Raw genomic sequence first — 19,021 nt, 5'->3', positions numbered from 1 at the left:
TCAAGTAAGAGATTCTGTATGCAATATCAGGCAAAGTTATCAATCTGCCAAACTAAATTAATGTCTTTTGTCCAGTTTACACACGTCTTTTTCTTAAATGTAGTAATGTATGAACCAAGTAATTAAAATTAAATTTGTATTTACAATGTTCACATTAAATATGGCTTCAAATTTAATATTATTCACCATAAGACAAAATTCAAATATACTAAAAGATGTATCTAAATTGCACTTACATCTTTGTTTGGAATCACTATGCTGCAAGGCAAGTAGTTATTAGTTATAAATAATATATAGTTTTGTAACTCACCAGAATCAGCTTTGTTTCTATACAGCCAACCAGATGTTAGTGATTTTTGTCTTCTTGTTTTCTTCATGTTTCTATGTTTTTTCATATGTTCATGGCACATTATCAAGGATAATAGGAAACATCTCCCTGGTTAAAAACAAAACAAAACAAAACAAAACAAAACAAAACAAAACAAAACATGTCTTAGAAACAGCCAGAAGGTGGGCTCTGTACAATAATTAGACACACCCACAAAAATGTAAATAGAATTGCCTGATAAAATTATATTGAAAATAAAACCAAAATTTGAACATGACACTCAATTAACTGATATTAATAATTCATATTTGATCCTACAACACAGTAAATCTTTAATAGTGCCTAGCACATATTAAAGCCAAAACTTATTAGATAACTAAATAACTAAATATCTATTCTTAATATTATTTTTGCACTTTTGCTTTTGAAAGTTGAAGAAAGTTTGATTTAGAACTCTGAGGAAGAAAAAGAAGGTACCTTTAAATAAGAATATAATTAAAGAAGGATGCTCCTAAATCAAACTTAGCAAATTTGCATAGCGAGCCAAGTAAACCTGCAGATGGAGCATTTTAGGCATACCTTATTATGCGCAAAACTAGCAATTCCAAATTCCAGAAGTCTATGCTATTGTCATAAATTATTTATAATCCATTATTACAATCTCAAAATCACTTTCCATGACAGATTCTCAAATCCTGTAATTCCCACTTCTTGGAATCACTCAAACAGAAAAAACAAAACACAAAAAGCAAGTGTGTGTGTGTGTGTGTGTGTGTGTGTGTGTATACAATTGAAGTAAACTAAGTAAAGTATCCATCAGAGGAGAAATTTTTCAGTAATTTATGTTAAATTTATAGTAGAGTAAAACACGTATATTAAAAATAGCTATGTAATGTAACACATGTTACCTGATAAAATGTCTATGATGCATTCAGGGAAAACACAGTATTTCAATTAATCCAATAAAAATGATTGAATAAAAAGAATATGTCCGTATCTGTGTGTGTGCATATGTGAGTATACACATGCACATGTGTGTGACAGAGGAGACAAAGGAAAGTAAATATTGTATTTGAAAAGCAATATAAAATATTAATGTCCCAATTTTTTCTTGAAAAATCTGTCTTATTTTTTGGTTCCAAAATAGTCATATGTAGAATGTCCTATGATTTAATTTGCAAGAAGAGTATTCGAAAGAGTATTTTGTAATATTTTCCCCTTTAAGTTCTAATTGTAAAGATGCTCTGCTAAGTATTCAGCAAAACAGGTTTAAACAATGTAATCTGTACTCCTCTAGTTGCACAGAATTTAAAATTCACAATGTTCCAGAGCTGATTAATTACATATAAATCGTATTTTTCTTTGTGCAACTCAATAGATAATTAGACTTAATTGTCTTGTGAATGAATAGGAGTTGTATGTCAGAGAATAGAAGTTGCTATTATATAAAATTAAGAGTTTAGGCCGGGCGCGTTGGCTCACGCCTGTAATCCCAGCACTTTGGGAGGCCGAGGCGGGTGGATCATGAGGTCAGGAGATCGAGACCATCCTGGCTAACAAGGTGAAACCCCGTCTCTACTAAAAATACAAAAAATTAGCCGGGCGCGGTGGCAGGCGCCTGTAGTCCCAGCTACTCGGGAGGCTGAGGCAGGAGAATGGCGTGAACCCCGGAAGCGGAGCTTGCAGTGAGCCGAGATTGCGCCACTGCAGTCCGCAGTCCGGCCTGGGCGACAGAGCGAGACTCCGTCTCAAAAAAAAAAAATAAATAAATAAAAAATAAAATTAAGAGTTTAAAAAGCCTTCAAAAATAATTTTAAAACAATATTTGACTTATAAAGAATCCTAATTTGCCAGAAGATTTTGTCCACATTTAATAATAATACACAGCTGCTCTTTAATTTGATGTCTTTTAAATGCTCTTATGCTGGAAAAACAGAGAAATCTACATAATGTAAATGCATTTACTTAACTTCTCTATCTCACCACTCAGCCCAGAAAAAACTTTGTTTATTGACTGTATATAATAAATTTTATCAATACTTTGTCTTTTAATGTTTTAGTTTACTAAAATTATCTATGTCCTTTAGGCTATCCATGCTTCTAATATCTTCTAATATTTTCTAGATCTATAGACAGGTTTTCTTTAGATGTTTTAAGATTTTGTGACCCTTTGCAGTCAATTTCAGATAAGTTGGGTCTCTTCCATTCATGCAATATTAAGGATTAGTTTTTCTGCTTCAGAGCAGTACTATGAACTAACCACTATTTATCCTTGAAATGCTCACCTACAGCTCACCTTTAACTTTAGCTGCTAATTTGGTAGTGGCTGATGAGGGTGAAGTAGAAGGGAAAGTAATTATTTTCACCTGTAAAAAAAAAAAAATTGGCAAACACCTAATATATTTTGGACTTTGAATTAAACTGTTAAACCTGAATTAGAAAGAGGAAGCAAACTCATTATAGAATTAATATCTTCCCTCAAATTGCCAGTGATTATAGCAAATGCATCTTTCCCATTGAAGCTTTTCACATGCAAGTTTGGACAGGGTAATAACTGTCCCATTATCCCATTGTCTTTATAAAATATATGCAGCCTGCTACCTAGGAAACTTGAGTGTAGGAGGAGCTGTTCTGAGAGACTGCACATGGCTCCAGTTGCCAAGGAAACTCATGCCTTTTCTCCCTGTAAATGCACAGAGCAGCTTCCTTATTAGGATTGGGTTAACAATCTTCTTAAAGGAAAAGCTGAGTGGAGAAGGTAGTAAGTTCTTTTCATGCATACAATCTGAATTGTAAACTCTGTATAAGCTGTGGCGAATTGTTTTTAGCAAGTAAGCTTCAGTAATGACAGTAAAAACGTGTGGATTATCACATACTGTTTTATCTGACAGAATTGAAAATATTAGAAAATGAAAAAACTTGATATTAAATAAAAACAGACCATTTGCTTATTAAAAAAATAGATTTTCAGACTAATAAATGACATATACTGACAATGTATGGTATGTATCCAAATGTAAATGAGTTTTTAATTTGCACTTTTAGAATGACTCTACATAAAAAAAATTTTCCTAAAATACTTTCATATCAAGCTATTCTAATTAATTATCTAAATTAATCCTCTTTCTTTATATCACTCTGTTATTATTGCGCTAAAAAGCACCTATTTCTCCTCACTCACCACCACCACTCTGCAGAAATGCTTCGATAACTCACAGTCTTTCACTAGATGAGAACTGTGTCCAGGGTACTGGCCCCTTATCTCACTTGGGCTTATGCTAAAGATGTAAAATGTGGTATAGATGCCCAAGCCTTAATGCTTCAAGGTGCAGAACTTTTAGCCGATGCTGTAGCCATTACAATGGGGTCAAAGGGAAGAGCAGTGATTATTCAACAGAGCTGTGGAGATCCCAAAGTAACAAAAGATGGTGTGACTGTTGAAAAATCTATTGACTTAAAGGATGAATATAACAGTATTGGAGTTAAACTTGTTCAAGATGTTGCCAATAACACGAGTGAAGAGGCTGGGGATGACACTACCACTGTACTGTTCTGGCATGCTCTATTGCCAAGGATGGCTTCAAGAAGATTAGTAAAGGTGCTAATCTATTGGAAATGGGGAGAGGTGTGATGCTAGCTGTTTATGCTGTAATTGCTGAACTTGAAAAGCAGTCTAAACCTGTGACCACCCCTGAAGAAATTGCTCAGGTTGCTACAATTTCTACAAATGGAGACAGACTGTAGAGAGGTTGCCATCACAGTAAGGAAGGAAAAAACACTGAATGATGAATTAGACATTATTGAAGACCTGAAGTTTGATTGAGGATATATTTCTCCATACTTTATTAATATACCAGAAGGCTAGAAATGTGAATTCCAGGATGCCCATGTTCTAATGAGTGAATAGAAAATTTCTAGTGTCCAGTCCATTGTACCTGCTCTTGAAGTTGCCAATGCTCACCATAAAACTTTGGTCATAATTGTTGAAGATATTGATGGAGAAGCTCTAAGTACATTCGTTTTGAATAGGCTAAAAGTTGGTCTTCACATTATAGCAGTCAAAGCTCCAGGATTTGATGAACAATTGAAAGAACCAGCTTAAAGATTTGGCTATTGCTACTGGTGGTGCAGTGTTTGGAGATGAGGGCTTGGCCCTAAATCTTGAATATGTGCAGCCTCGTGACTTAGGTAAAGTTGGAGAGGTCATTGTGACTAAAGATTATGCTATGCTCTTAAAAGGAAAAGGTGACAAGTCTCAAATTGAAAAAAAAATATTCAAGAAATCATGGAGCAGTTAGATGTCACAATTAGTGATACGAAAAGGAAAAACTGATAGAATGGCTGGAAAACTTTTCAGATGGAGTAGCTGTGCTGAAGGTTGGTGGGACAAGTGATGTCAAAGTGAATGAAAAGAAAGACAGAGTTACAGATCCCTTAATGCAATAACTGCTGTTGAAGAAGGCATTGTTCTGGGAAGGGGCTGTGCCCTGCTTCAATACGTTCCAGCCTTGTACTCATTGACTCCAGCTAGTGAAGATCAAAACATTGGTATAGAAATTAAAAGAATATTCAAAATTGCTGCAATGACAATTGCTAAAAATGCAGGTATTGAAGGATCTTTTATAGTCAAGAAAATTACGCAAAGTTCTATAGAAGTTGGTTATGATGCTATGGTCAGAGATTTTGTGAATATGGTGGGAAAAGGAATCATTGATCCAACAAAGTTTCTGAAAACTGTTTTATTGGATGCTTTTGGGTGGCCTCTCTGTTAACTACAGCAGAAATTTTAGTCACAAAAATTCCTGAAGAAGAGAAGGACCCTGGAATGGGTGCAATATGTAGAATGAGAGGTGGTATGAGAGGTGGCATGTTCTAATTCCTAGAATACTGCTTTACCTATATTAATGAACTGTGACAGAAGCTCAGTGCAGTGTTCCTCACCAATAGCTTTAGAGAAGTCAGTTGGAGAAAATGACTGAAGAAAAGGCTGGCTGATATTTAAGAAACCACTATAACCATTACTGGTTTCAGTTGACAAAATACATAATGGCTTACTCCTGTCATTGTCCAGGCCTACAGATAATTTATTTTGTATTTTTTAATAAAAGACATTTGTACACTCCTAATATTGGGTGCAAAGCCATGTACCAATATATTGCTTTCAACTTAAATCCCTGAGGCATTTTTACTACTATTCTGTTAAAATTTTAGTGCTTGCCACCACCAGATGAGAATTTAAGCAGTCTCTCTGTGGAGATTAATTGTGTACAAAGTAGAGAAATATCCAATTATGTGACAATTTTTGTATAATAAAAACTATTTTAAAGTTAAAAAATCACCTATTTCATATTCGAACAGTCTATTTTTTGTGCTTCTGAAACTAAAATTCTCTAAAGTATAAAATCTCAAATTATATCTTCTAAATGTTTCCTCAGTATGATCTGTTACCACTTGTAGTTATTTATTAAGTCCATCATTTATCAACTATGTAAAACAACTTTAGGTAAAATCTAATAATCTTTTTCAAAAGATCCTTAAAAAATCATGTACTATGGAAAGAAAAAGGAAGTGGGAATATTTCCAGGCAAGAAGGCTATTTCTTAGAAATTTGAGCTGTATCTTCTATGTTAATAACAATATTAAAATTCATATGGAACAAAAAAGACTCCCAGTAGCCAAAACAATCTTGAGCAAAAAGAAAAAGCTAGAGGCATCACACTACCTGACTGCAAAGTATACTACAAAACTGTAATAACTAAATCGGGCTGGCACTGCCATAAAAACAGACTCATAGACCAATGAAATAGAATAGAGCCTGGAAATAAATCCACGTATTTACAGCCAACTGATTTTGTAAAATAAATGTGACAAGAACACACATTGGGGAAAATACAGTCTCTTCAATAAATAGTGCTGTGAAACTGGATATCTATAGACAGAAGAATGAAGCCAGACCGTCATTGCTCGCCTTATATAAAAATCAACTCAAAATGAATTCAAGACTTAAATATGAGAACCAAAACTATAAAATTACTAGAAAAAGACACAGGGGAAATGCTTCATGACAATAATGTGGGTAAAAACCTTTTGGATAAGACCTCAAAAGCATAAGCAACAAAAGCAAAAATAGACAAATGTGATTATATCAAACTAAAAAGCCTCTGCACAGCAAAAAAATAAAAAAAAAATCCTAGGAGTGAAGAGAAAACCTACAGAATGGGAGAAAATATTTGCAAATGATTCATCAAAATAGGAGTTAATATATACAATATATAAGGAACTGAAACAACTTGATACCAAAAACATAAAAATAATTTTATTTAAATATGGGCAAAAGATCTGAATAGACACTTCTCCAAAAAAGGCATACAAATAGCTAGTGGGCATATGACAAAATGCTCAACCTCACTAATCATCAGGGAGAGGTGAATCAAAACCACAATGCAATATTACCTTACTTCAGTTAGAATGGCTATTATCAAAAAGACAAAAAATAAAATGCTTATGAGGATAGGGAGAAAAGAAGACTCATATATAATATTTGTGGAAATGTAAATGTAGTAAAGCCATTATGGAAAAAAGTATAGAAGTTTCTCAAAAAAATAAAAACAGAACTGCCATATGATCCAGCAATTCCACTACTGAGCATATAGCCAAAGGAATGGAAATCAATATGTCAAAAAGATATGTGTACTCTTATGTTTATTGCAGCACTATTCCTAATAGACAAGAGATGGAATCAACCTAAGTGTCCATCAATGGATGAATGGATTAGAAAATATGATATAAATACACAATGGAATACTATTCAGCTCTAAAAAAGACTTAAATTCTGTCATTTGAAGCAACATGGATAAACCTGGAGGGCATGATGTTCAGTGAAATAAGCCAGTCACAAAAAGACAAAACTACATGATATCACTCATACCCGGAATTTTTGAAAGCTGATTTCATAGAAGTACATAGTAGAATAGTGATTACCAGAGGATGGGGAAGGGAGGAGAAAGTGAAAGATAGGGAGAGGTTGGTCAGTGGCTACCAAGTTACAATTAGATAGGGAAAATAATTTCTGGTGTTCTATTACATAGCAGCATGATTGTGGCTAATAACCATGTATTGTATATTTCAAGATAGCTACAAAAGAGGTTTTTGAAAGTTATTATTACAAAAAAATGATAAAGGTTTGTGATGATGGATATACTAACTACTCTTATTTGATTGTTATCAATGTAAGCATGTGTTGAAACGTCACACTATAACCCATAAACATGTACAACTATCATGCATCAATTGTAAATAATTTTTAAGTTAGGTATCCAACCTAAATGCAGACAGAGAAACACACAAGTATTTTATTGCAAAATAAGTGGAAAAGTTTGTTTCCTCTAGAGAAATAATTTATAAAGAGTTATAATTCTTTGTATATTCTATTGAATAGTGAAGGTGTGTGAAAGCAGGCGTTCTCATGTATTATGGATAGAGTAAATACTGGCAATATAATTCTAAGGAAGTTTCTTTAAAAAAAACCTACCAACTATATTTACAAAGATAAGAATCACACTTTGCCAAAAATATCTAAATTTTAAGACTTGATTATTGACGAAGTTGTGATAAGTGTATGTGGAAAATAGAGTACTATGCTCATATATAGTCATTAAAACTAATCATAGTGAGAATATGTAATCACATAAAATATGTTCATTCTAGATTTTGAAGTGGAAAATGAAAAATCACACAAAAGGTATAAACAATTTAACATAATACTGGAAGTACATACATCTACGTGTTAAGAGTAGATGGTTGGTGTATTACTTTTTTCTTGCTCTTGTCCAATCCTGCCAAGTTGTTTGCATTGAGTATTTATTAGATTTGTATTTAGAAAATGTTTTAAAGTTTTAGAAAGAATAAAGTTTAAATGACATAGGGGATACATGTAATGCCAAAGGAAAGCAAGTTTGCACATAATATATAGATACAAATATCACAATGACAACAAAAATAGGTACGTTTAGCTCATTATTAGGAAGCTCAGTATTTTAAAATAAATTTAAAGATTTTGTGCTGGTTAGTTTGAGGTGTCAACTTGACTCTATTAAGGAATATCTAGAAACCCTATAATACGTTACTTTTGGGTGTGTCTGTGAGGGCTTTTGCAGAGATTAGCATGTGAGTCTGAGTGGACTACGTGGGGAAAAGCAGCCCTCAAAGTAGATGGGCACCATCACAGAAACTGAGGAAAGGCAACCATGTTGAACTATCTGCTAGAGCTAGGATACACTCTTTCTCTCTTGTCCTTGAACAACAACTTGAAGTTTCCTGGCCTTCAGACTTCAGGGCTTACACACACCAGCTTATTCTCAGGCCTTTGACCTCAAACTGAGGATTAACCATCAGCTTTTCTGGTTCTGAGGCCTTCAGACTTGGACTGATCCGCACTAATGGCATATCAGGGTCTCCCTGCTTGCAGATGGCTTGTCATGAGACGCCTCAGCCTCCATAATCTCAAAAACTAATCAATAAGTACACTCTTTATCTATCTGTGTGTCTGTGTGTCTGTCTGTCTATCTATCTATCTATCTATCTATCTTCTATCTACCTAGCATCTGTGTGTGCTTGTGTGTGTGTGTGTGTGTGTGTGTGTGTGTGTGTATCTCAGTTCTTTCTCTCTGGAGAATCTTAATATAAATATTAATCTCGGCTGGGCACGGTGACACATGCCTGGAATTCCAGCACTTTGGGAGGCCAAGGCAGGCAGAGTTCAAGAGGCAGAGTTCAAGGTCAGGAGTTCGAGACCAGCCTGGCCAATGTGGCAAAACCCTGTCTCTACTGACAATACAAAAATTAGCTGGGCATGGTGGTGGGTGACTGTGATCCCAGCTACTCAGGAGGCTGAGGCAGGAGAATCGCTTGAACCTGGGAGGCGGAGTTTGCAGTGAGCCAAGATCGTGCCACTGCACTCCAGCCTGGGTGACAGAATGAGACTTTGTCCCAAATAAAATAAAATAACCTTGGTAACTAATCAGTAAAATCCAAATTGCAACATGATAATTTTTATTTTTTGTCACATTAGCAATAGTTTAAAAATTGATCATTGTCAATGCTTATTGGGAAAATATACTCTCTACTATAAATGGGATTAAAACTGGTATAATTTATTTGAAATAAAATGATGGTATTTATTACAATTAAAAATGTGTATATGCTTTGAGGAATTTACTTTAGGCTTCTCGATATTTGAATGGGCTTCTTCATAGTGGAGAACCCAGAGTCTCTACTCCTGCAGAGAAGTTTCAGTGAAGCAGTTGTCCCTTCTTAAAATTCAAGAACAGTGGCTGGGCGCGGTGACTGATGCCTGTAATCCCAGCACTTTGGGAGGCCGAGGCAGGCGGATCACGAGGTCAGGAGATGAAGACCCTCCTGGCTAACACAATGAAACCCCGTCTCTACCGAAAATACAAAAAAATTAGCCGGGTGTGGTGGTGGGTGCTTGTAGTCCCAGCTACTCGGGAGGCTGAGGCAGGAGAATGGCGTGAACCCAGGAGGTGGAGATTGTAGTGGGCTGAGATTGCGCCACTGTACTCCAGCCTGGGTGACAGAGCAAGACTCCATCTTAAAAAAAAAGAAAAAAAAAAAAATTCAAGAGCAGTATGATTGAGCCTTAGCCAGTCTGAAACTCCTATCCAGGAATCTGAATCCTGAGAGAATTGACACAACATGTAAGGATGGCGAGAGGTCATTTGCAATGGCAGTAATGGGTTTAAAAGTCCAGTGCTATAGCCAAGATTGTTCATTGTCATTTAGCCCTAATATTCATAACATTTTACATTCAGCATGATAATGAAATGCATATCATTTAAGTCTCAAAAGATGCACACACCTGTGATGGGACATTAGCTGTTCCTTGCCTTTTCTAATTTTCTGACTTTTCTGTGCTTGGTTCTTTAAAATTCCTGATAATGCTCGAACCACATAGCAGACTTCTGATAAAGTATTTTTCTGGTGAAGTTAGCTAAATTGGTATCTGTTATTGGTAAAAAGATTTATGATTAGGGCAATGCACCTTCCTGTGGACCAGAAATCTTACATCTACTAATCTAGTACATCAAGATACTTCAGCAAATGTGCAAAAACCTAAGTACTAGGAAATTCAATGCTGTATTGCTTATAATCAAGATAATATGAGACAGCCTCCACAGGATAACTGCAAGATATAATAGATGACAGCATCTTTATACAATGAAATGTTATACAAATATTAGAAATACATTCATTTATGTATATTTATATATTATTTGTGATATTAAAAAGTTGCAAATTAGAGTGCACATGACCTAATTTTATTTTTAAAAGGAAGAAAAAATCTACAAATATGTTGACATGTGTATGACTGTTTAGAAAAAAGTGATGTATATGGATATTTAAGAAAAAGGCATAGGAAGGTATCAGTGATGTACTAATTTATTAAAAGTGACTATTTCCTTCACCTATATATGAAAAAATAGCAGTGCTTTTAAAAATGAGAAAGTGATTTTACTTTTAGGAAAAATAAGAATGACCAATCAATACTAGTGTTTTTTATTCTTCACTGATTAGGCCAATATATTTCTGTTCTAAGTAAAATATTCTAAGAAGGATGTAGCTAAATTAAAGCACAAGACAACTAGATGTTGAAGGGTGTAGAACCATGCCATACAAAAAAAGAGGCAACCTAATCATAACCATTTAACTGAAAACATGAAAGTATATAAAATTTTGTGGGTATTTTTCCTCCAAATATTTGAAACTGACATTATGTAGATGACATAATACACATTTGTTGTAGCAACCACTTTGATGTACTACACAGACCATACTTCAAGAATGAAAGATGTATTCCCTCAGCTGCTGAGACTGCTGTAGGCAAACAGTCTTTAGCTGTCAGCTCTTTGAAATTGTCTCAATGGAGAAAACCACCTACCCCAAGATAAATTCCTTTCCCAAACAGCCCACATTTACTAACCAACTAATCATCACTGGCGCAGAGGTCAGCTCTGTCTATTTTATGTAGATTTTCCTAACAAGAATCTAGGACAATCATCATTCCACAATTTTCACTAGAATTGTTTATGATATACACCAGCGATCCTCAACCCTTTTGGCACCAGGGACCAGTTTCATGGAAGACAATTTTCCATGGACCCAGGGGATGGGGGAATGATTTTGGGATGATTCAAGCATATTACATTTGTTGGGCACTTTATTTCTATTATTATTATATTGTAATATGTAATGAGATAATTATACAATTCACGATAATGTTGAATCAATGAAAGCCCTGAGCTTATTTTTCTGCAACTAGATGGTCCTATCTGGGGATGATAGGGGACAGTGACACATCATCAGGCATTAGATCCTCATAAGAGGTGTGCAGCCTAAATCCCTCACATGCACAGTTCACAATAGCGCTCACGCTCCTCTGAGAATCTAATACCACCACAGATCTGACAAGAGGCGGAGCTCAGGAAGTAATGTGAACAATGAGGAGCTGTCACATGCAGATAGAGGTTTGCTTGCTCACTCACCTGCTGCTCATCTCCTGGTGTGCAGCCCAGTTTCTAACAGGCCATGGACCATGTATATTAGATAGTGAATATTGGGGACGCCAGATATATACCATCTGCAACTATATTATTAGGAGTATCTTCATTTTAATTACTGAAATATGTGTCCTACTTGCTTTTATGCTGCTCATACACCTAATTATCTAAACATAGATACCCCGAAAGTATTTATGGAATAGACTAAAAGAAACTAAGAAAAGTTTAGAAAAAAAAATTTTATAACAAAAAAAGAAACATAACTAGTGTTGAAGAAAATTAGTTTTCTCCAGTTATAAATTTTCACAAAATCAAAAAGAATGGATTTACATGAGTAGTTGACACACAGGTGTTTATGTTGTTACTTGTAGCAAAATATTTTTTTCTGTAAGTCTGTGTCTACTCTTTGAGAGGTTAAATTGATAGTTTTTTTTAAAGTTTCTTTTTATTTCTCATAGCTCATATACATAGATATCTTTTTTTCACTTTACTGTTGTTAAACTTTTATTCACTTACTAAGAAGTATGGAATAGTAATTCTAATGAGCTCCCAAACTGAATTTCACAAGTACGGAATGGAGGACACCTGGTTTAACAACCTAAACAACCCTTTTGTAAGTTAGTAATAGTCTCCTACTCTGGGAGATACAATTCTAAAATGCACCATTCCACACCCCACAAGATGCCCACTGCTTGACGTGCATATACTGTGTAATCATCTCCCCTTGAATGTGAATGAGGCCTGTGTGTGTGCTGAGACACCACTCCAGGGATTAAGTTACTAATCATCGGACTTGGAGGTAGTCATAATGGAGACCTAATCTTATCTAACTTATATCTTCTGATACCCTTCAAGTTGTTGGCAGAACTTCCTTCCTGCTATTTATGGGATTAATGTTCCCATTTTCTTGGTAACTGCCCACGATGGGTCTCTCTTAGCTTCTAGAGAGTGTCTGAAATTCTCTGTTACGTAGCACTATCCACAACATGGCAGCTTTCGTTTTTTAAGACCAGAAGGAAAGCATTCTTCTGGTTTTTGTAAAGGGCTAATTTTGCCTTCCTTCCTTCCTTTCCTTCTTCCCTTCCTGCCTGCCTGCCTGCCTGCCTGCCTGCCTGCCTGCCTGCCTGCCTGCCTTCCTTCCTTCCTTCCTTCCTTCCTTCCTTCCCACTCTATCTCTTTTTTCTGTTTCTTTTGGTTAAGCACATTTGGCACATTATACAGCATATGAGCTCATCAAATTTTCTTCGATTATGCATGCTATATATTTCTAGGTAATTTATTTTAAACTTTAAAAAATTTTTAAAATTATTTTAGACTTGCACAAAGTTGCAAAAATGGTCCAGTGAGCCCCAATTTACCATTCATCCAGTGTATTTCAAAGACACATGGTCTCTTACATGCCAGATATTATCAATCAAGTAATTTTTTAATTTTATGTTTATAAAGTTTATGATAGGTAAATAAATAGGTAGGTAGATAGATATGAACATGACACAAAAAGCTGCATAATTCTAAAGAAATTTTCAATGTTACCCCTTTATAGACATGACATTCTCCCCAACCTAAAGCCCTGACAACCTCTGGCCTATTCCCTATCACTGTGAATTGAACATTTTAGAATGCTATATAAATAGAATCTTACTGATATGGTTTGACTCTGTGTACCCACCCAAATTTCATGTAGAATTATAATTCCCACATGTTGGGGAAGGGACCTGATGGGAGATGATTGGATAATGGGGGCAGTTCCTAATGGTTTAGCACCACGCCCCCTAGTGTTGTCTCGTGATAGATTTCTTGTGAGATGTGGTTGTTTAAAAGTGCGTAGCCCCTCCCCATTTGCTCTCGATCTCTCCTGCAGCCATGTGAAAAAGGGTGCTTGCTTCCGCTTCACCTTCTGCCGTGATTGTAAGTTTCCTGAGGCTTCCCTAGACATGCAGAACTGTAAGTCAATTACTCTCTTTTCTTCATAAATTACACAGTTTCAGGTAGTTCTTTATAGAAAATGAAAATTGACTAACATAGTATTTAAAAAAATTTTAGTCATTCTAATAACTGTATAGTCTTATCCTATTGTGGCTTTAATTTGAATTTCCTTAATGGCGAAGAATGTCGAATATGTTTTTATGTAGTTATTGCCATTTGTATACCTTTTGTATACCTTCTTTAGTAAGGTGTTCTATTTTCTAGAAGATTATTTTCTTACTTTTGAGTTCTACGACTTATATAATATTGATCAATTCCTCAAAATCCACAAACTAAACTCACTCAAGATGAAATAGACAATATAAATACAGCTACAACTTTTGAATTCATGGTCAAATATAATTCATGACCAAAGAAATTGAGTTCGTGGTTTACAACTTTCTGAAAAAACTGTCTTTAGATCTAGATGATTTCATGTGTGAATCCTGCCATGTATTTAAGTAGAAATAACATTTATCCTACACAGTCTCTTCCAAAAAAAAAACAGAAGAGGAGAAAACACTTTCCAATTCATTTATGGGACCAGTTAACCTTGATATCAAAACCAAAGTCAGTACCAAAATAAGCACAAGACCCTCATGAACATCTATGAGAAACAGGCCATCAATGAGAAACAGATACCACATCTATCTGTGCCTTGATCTCGGACTTCTCACCTTCCAGAAATTTAAGAAATGCATTTTGCTTTTATATAAATTATCCAGTCTCCGTATTTTGTTATAGTAGCAGAAATGGAATAAGACAATAATTACATTTTAAATTTGTTACATTTTCATGGTTTTTGTCATACTTTTTATCTTTTTATTCATTATCATCATAGTTTAAATCTTAGAAAATATTAATAACAGCAGCTTTAGGAATTATAGTTTTCTTGTGCTAATTCTAATACCTGAGTGATCTAAGGTTTGATTATAGTAGTCCTCCCTTATTAGCAGAGTTTAGGTTCCAAGACCTCCAGTGGATAACTGAAACCGTGGATACTACCATACCATACATACACTACGTTTTTTTCTAAGCATACATACCTATAACGAAGTTAATTTTATAAATTAGGAAACAGTAAGAAGTTAACAAAAATAACTAATAATAAAATAGAATTATAAACATATATTGTAATCAAAGTTATATGAATATGGTCCCTCTCTTTTCTCTCAAAATATCTTATTGTACTGTAACTGAAGCTGCAGAAATCAAAACTGTGGATAAAGGAGGACTACTCTATGTGCTGCTATTTCTTTCAACCATGGATTACATGTTCAATTTTTTTTTGCACATTTAATAATTGTATAAGCTGAACATTGTGTGTGATAATTGTAGAAAGTGTAGTTAATGTAAAATTCCTTTAAAGAGTGTTATTTTTTCTTTTAACTAATAAATTGCTGATGGATTATTTAAGTGCAGTCAGACATTGCAGTGGTTTGAATGTGTCACTCAAAAGGTATGTGTTGGAAACTTAATTTGTAATGCAAAAATTTTGGGAGATGGATTCTAATGAAAGGTGATTCATCCATGGGGGCTCTGCCCTCAAGAATGGATTAATGCCATTACTGAGGGAGTGGGATTTTTATTAGGTTGGTGCAAAAGTAATTGTGGTTTTTTCCATTACTTTCAATTTGTCTCTCTCGCCCTCTCTTTTTCTTCCTGCCATATGATGACAGAGCAAGAAGGCCCTTGACAGATACCAGCTCCTTGATTTAGGACTTTCTGGCCTTCAGCACCATAAGCCAATTGATTTCTCCTCATTATAAAATATCCAGTTTGTGGTATTCTATCATAGTAGCACAAAGCAGACTGGGAAAGATATGAATTTATTTGTTGTTAGGGCATATTTATTTTGCTTTTCAACTTAGTCCTATGGCTTGGCCCTTACTCTTGGATGTGGTTTTTACTAAAACATATAGTCTTTCTGGGGTCTCAATTGAAGTCCAATATGCTGAATAATTTCTTTTTATTCTGGATGAATTGTAATTCCAGTGTCCCTCACCCTGCTGGCCTTTCACTGTTCATCTCTCTGTCCCACAGCAACAATTCTCTGTCAGAAACCACAGTGCTTTGCTCTTTGCCTTTTCAAGCCTATCCATTGACAAAGGACTGAGTAACTTCCATACAGACTTTTAGGTGGCCTTTCCCTCAACAGTTTCCCCTTCTCAGATACTTTGTCTTATAAATCCCTGTGGCCTCCATAGCCTGCAAATCTGGACTTTGACTTTGGGTTTGGTTCCATCTTGCTGCTCTACTCCCTGCAGTAAATCACCCTTAGGCAGAAAACTAGGGCAACTGTAGGGCAGTCTGGGAGCTCACCTTTTTGTTTTTCTTTTCCTCAAGGATAATGGTCCTAAACTGCCTCTTTTTCAGTGTCAAAATAATGACACAGTATTTCATCAAATTTTATAGGTGTTTTTGTTGGGAGGCCAAGTCCTATACCAGTTATTCTTTGCAAGCAGAAATATATTTTTCTTGTTTTCAAGGTAAGAACATTTAAATTAGGAAAGGCTAAGTTATTTGCTTATTGTGACAAAGTAAGTGATAAAAATAAATTTTAACCTAGGTCTTCAGATTTGATAACTATGGTGTTACTACTGCATTAGAGCTGTTGCAAAAATGAATAGCACTAGAGAAATATTAATTGGCGTTTCCTAGCTCAAAGTTTTACAAACTTTTCATTTCATGGTATAATAAACTTGTAGATACTGTATAGAAAATGACTTATGGGTAACAGCTGTTTATTTATTCCTAAATATTAAACACATAATATAACAATAATGATTACTACTGGCATTATTGTCCATAAAAGGCCATAAAATCACATAAATGGTATAAGCAAACATACTATTTCATAACAAATAAAAATTCCATCAAGTAAATACAATTTTATAAAAGACTAATGTCAATGTACTTTTTCTCCATTGGCCATAGTAGAGTCAACTTCAATGTGGACCGAAGCCTGTCTGAAGACAGATATTTGGAAATGATTGATAGTATTTAAACAAATATTATTACAGCATTTTTTGTGTGTCTGGTAGGATTCTCAGTGCCTACAGTTATTAATGAATTTAAACATTATAACTACGTTAAGAATCAGGTCCTGTCATATTCCCCATTTACAGATTATCAATCTGATGCAAGAAAAAAATGAAATAACTTGCCCAAAGTCACACAACTAATAAGTGGCAGATTAAGGACCGACATCTAGAGAATTGGGATCTTAAACTTTGCTCCTTTTCTCTGATTATTCCTTTTGAAAATAGGAATCTGAGTTAACAGTAGATATAGGCTATGAATAATGTTTCAGAAGCTATTTTTCTAATTTAATCTTTGAATGGATATGCATTTTCCCACAACGTGTTATTGTGGTAAAAGAGAAATATTGTATTATAATTTTTCAATTCTTGAAATTGTATCTCAGGTAAAATAAGAATGCACTGTGTAGAATGGGAAAATGGCATTTTTTTCTAGTTCTGCATTTCTAGTCATAAATGAAGGTTAATATTTGCGAGCAGATGGGAGATTACATCATTAAAACAGATAATGTTCCCTGCAAATGAATAGAATTTAAAAGGTTAAATTTTCAGTTCAGTTTAGTCCTAAAAATGTAACCCTTTAAAAAAAATTTAATCTGTATAAATTCTTGGTGCAAAGAAGAGTTTAAAATAGCTCCCTGAACGAAGTCATGCATCCAAAAGAATGATGATGTAGCGCTCAAATGCAAATAGAAAGTATTGATTTAGGGTAGCAGCTTCTGTGTAAGAAGGGAAGAAATAAATGTTATTCTTCCAATTTTTATTTCTTGAGAAAATTAAAATGCATTTTCTAATTAAAATGTATTCATTAATAAACATTCAATAATTTAGAGAACAGTGGGAGAATAAGCATATGTTCCCCTTTGTCATTGAAAATTATGAGCATTAAAATTAGGAGAAAAGAATAATTTACAGAAAGATAAATCAGACTATCTAGGTTTTTATGCCTCATTAATATCTCTCATCTTTTAGGAGGAAGACATTTAGGTAATCTAAATGAACTTAAATGGATGGAAATGACTTATTTGCTCAGATGTTGGTGGAAAACTTTTATTTGCTTAAAATCTAGATTGGAAGGAACCAAAAATGATTAGATTTTGCTGTACATTATTTTTCGTAAAAAAAACAAAACAAAAAGTTTGCATGATATCAGAATTTTTCTTTTTCTATGCTGACTATAGGAAAACTGGCAAAATAAAATCAGTAAACAAATGGCTATTCTCCAAATATATTTAATAGCAGAAAACTATCAGAATGGCTCTAATCCAAATTCCACAGCAAGAAAATGCTATGGAATTTTTTTTCCTAAATAAAACCTGTATTAGAACTGCTCTGTGCAACTTCTTTGAGTTACTAATTTTCACCTTTTATATCTAGTCCTTCAGAACTCAGCCTACTATATTTTCTGGGTTCCCTGCTTTTTCAGATCAATTATTAAATATCACACCCTATATGTTTGTTTGTTTGATTGTTTTGAGATGGGGTTTTGTTCTTGTCAGCCAGGCTGGAATGCAATGGCATGAGCTCTGCTCACTGCAGCCTCCATCTCCCAGGTTCAAGCTATTCTCCTGCCTCAGCCTACCAAGTAGCTGGGATTACAGGCATGTGCCACCACACCTGGCTCATTTTTGTATTTTTAGTAGAGATGAGGTTTCACCATGTTGGTCAGACTGGTCTCAAACTTCTGATCTCAAGTGATCCACCTGCCTCCACCTCCCAAAGTGCTGGGATTACAGGAATGAGCCACCGCACCTGGTCACATCCTGTATCTTTGAATTGCAATGTTTAAAATTTGCATTCAACACAATTATTGATATGGTTCTACCTTTATTTCTTATGCTGTTTTTTCAAAATCCTGTTCCTTTTCTGCATTCTTTTGCATTATTAGAACATCTTAGTATTCTATTTAAATTTATTAGCTTTTTGTCTCTTTTTGTATTATTTTTGATGGTTACTTCAGAGTTTATAATTTATATATATTTTACTCCAAACTGTTTAGATCATAATTCCCCTAAATGTAATATGTTACTTATTTGTTCTGGCTGCTCTCAAGATATTGATGCTAATTATGATATATCTGGACTTTGTTTTCTCTGAGTTTATCATATTTG

At 34.6% G+C, this 19,021-nt stretch overlaps 1 long non-coding RNA gene and 1 pseudogene across 2 annotated transcripts in view; one reads left to right on the top strand and one right to left on the bottom strand.

Moving 5' to 3' along the window:
• LINC02334 (long intergenic non-protein coding RNA 2334) overlaps window positions 1-19,021 on the bottom strand; it is a 131,124-nt gene that overhangs the window by 67,324 nt on the left and 44,779 nt on the right. For both annotated transcript variants that reach the window (XR_941880.4, XR_941877.3), the window contains exon 2: window positions 311-436. This is a non-coding gene — a long non-coding RNA (long intergenic non-protein coding RNA 2334). The remainder of the gene's footprint in view (window positions 1-310; window positions 437-19,021) is intronic.
• On the top strand, window positions 3,522-5,659 carry HSPD1P9 (heat shock protein family D (Hsp60) member 1 pseudogene 9; annotated as a pseudogene).

This window comes from Homo sapiens, chromosome 13 (genome assembly GCF_000001405.40).
Source record: "Homo sapiens chromosome 13, GRCh38.p14 Primary Assembly".
Lineage (NCBI taxonomy): Eukaryota > Metazoa > Chordata > Mammalia > Primates > Hominidae > Homo > Homo sapiens.
The sequence above is the reverse complement of the archived record's forward strand: the minus strand, read 5'-3'. Positions and strand labels throughout refer to the sequence as shown.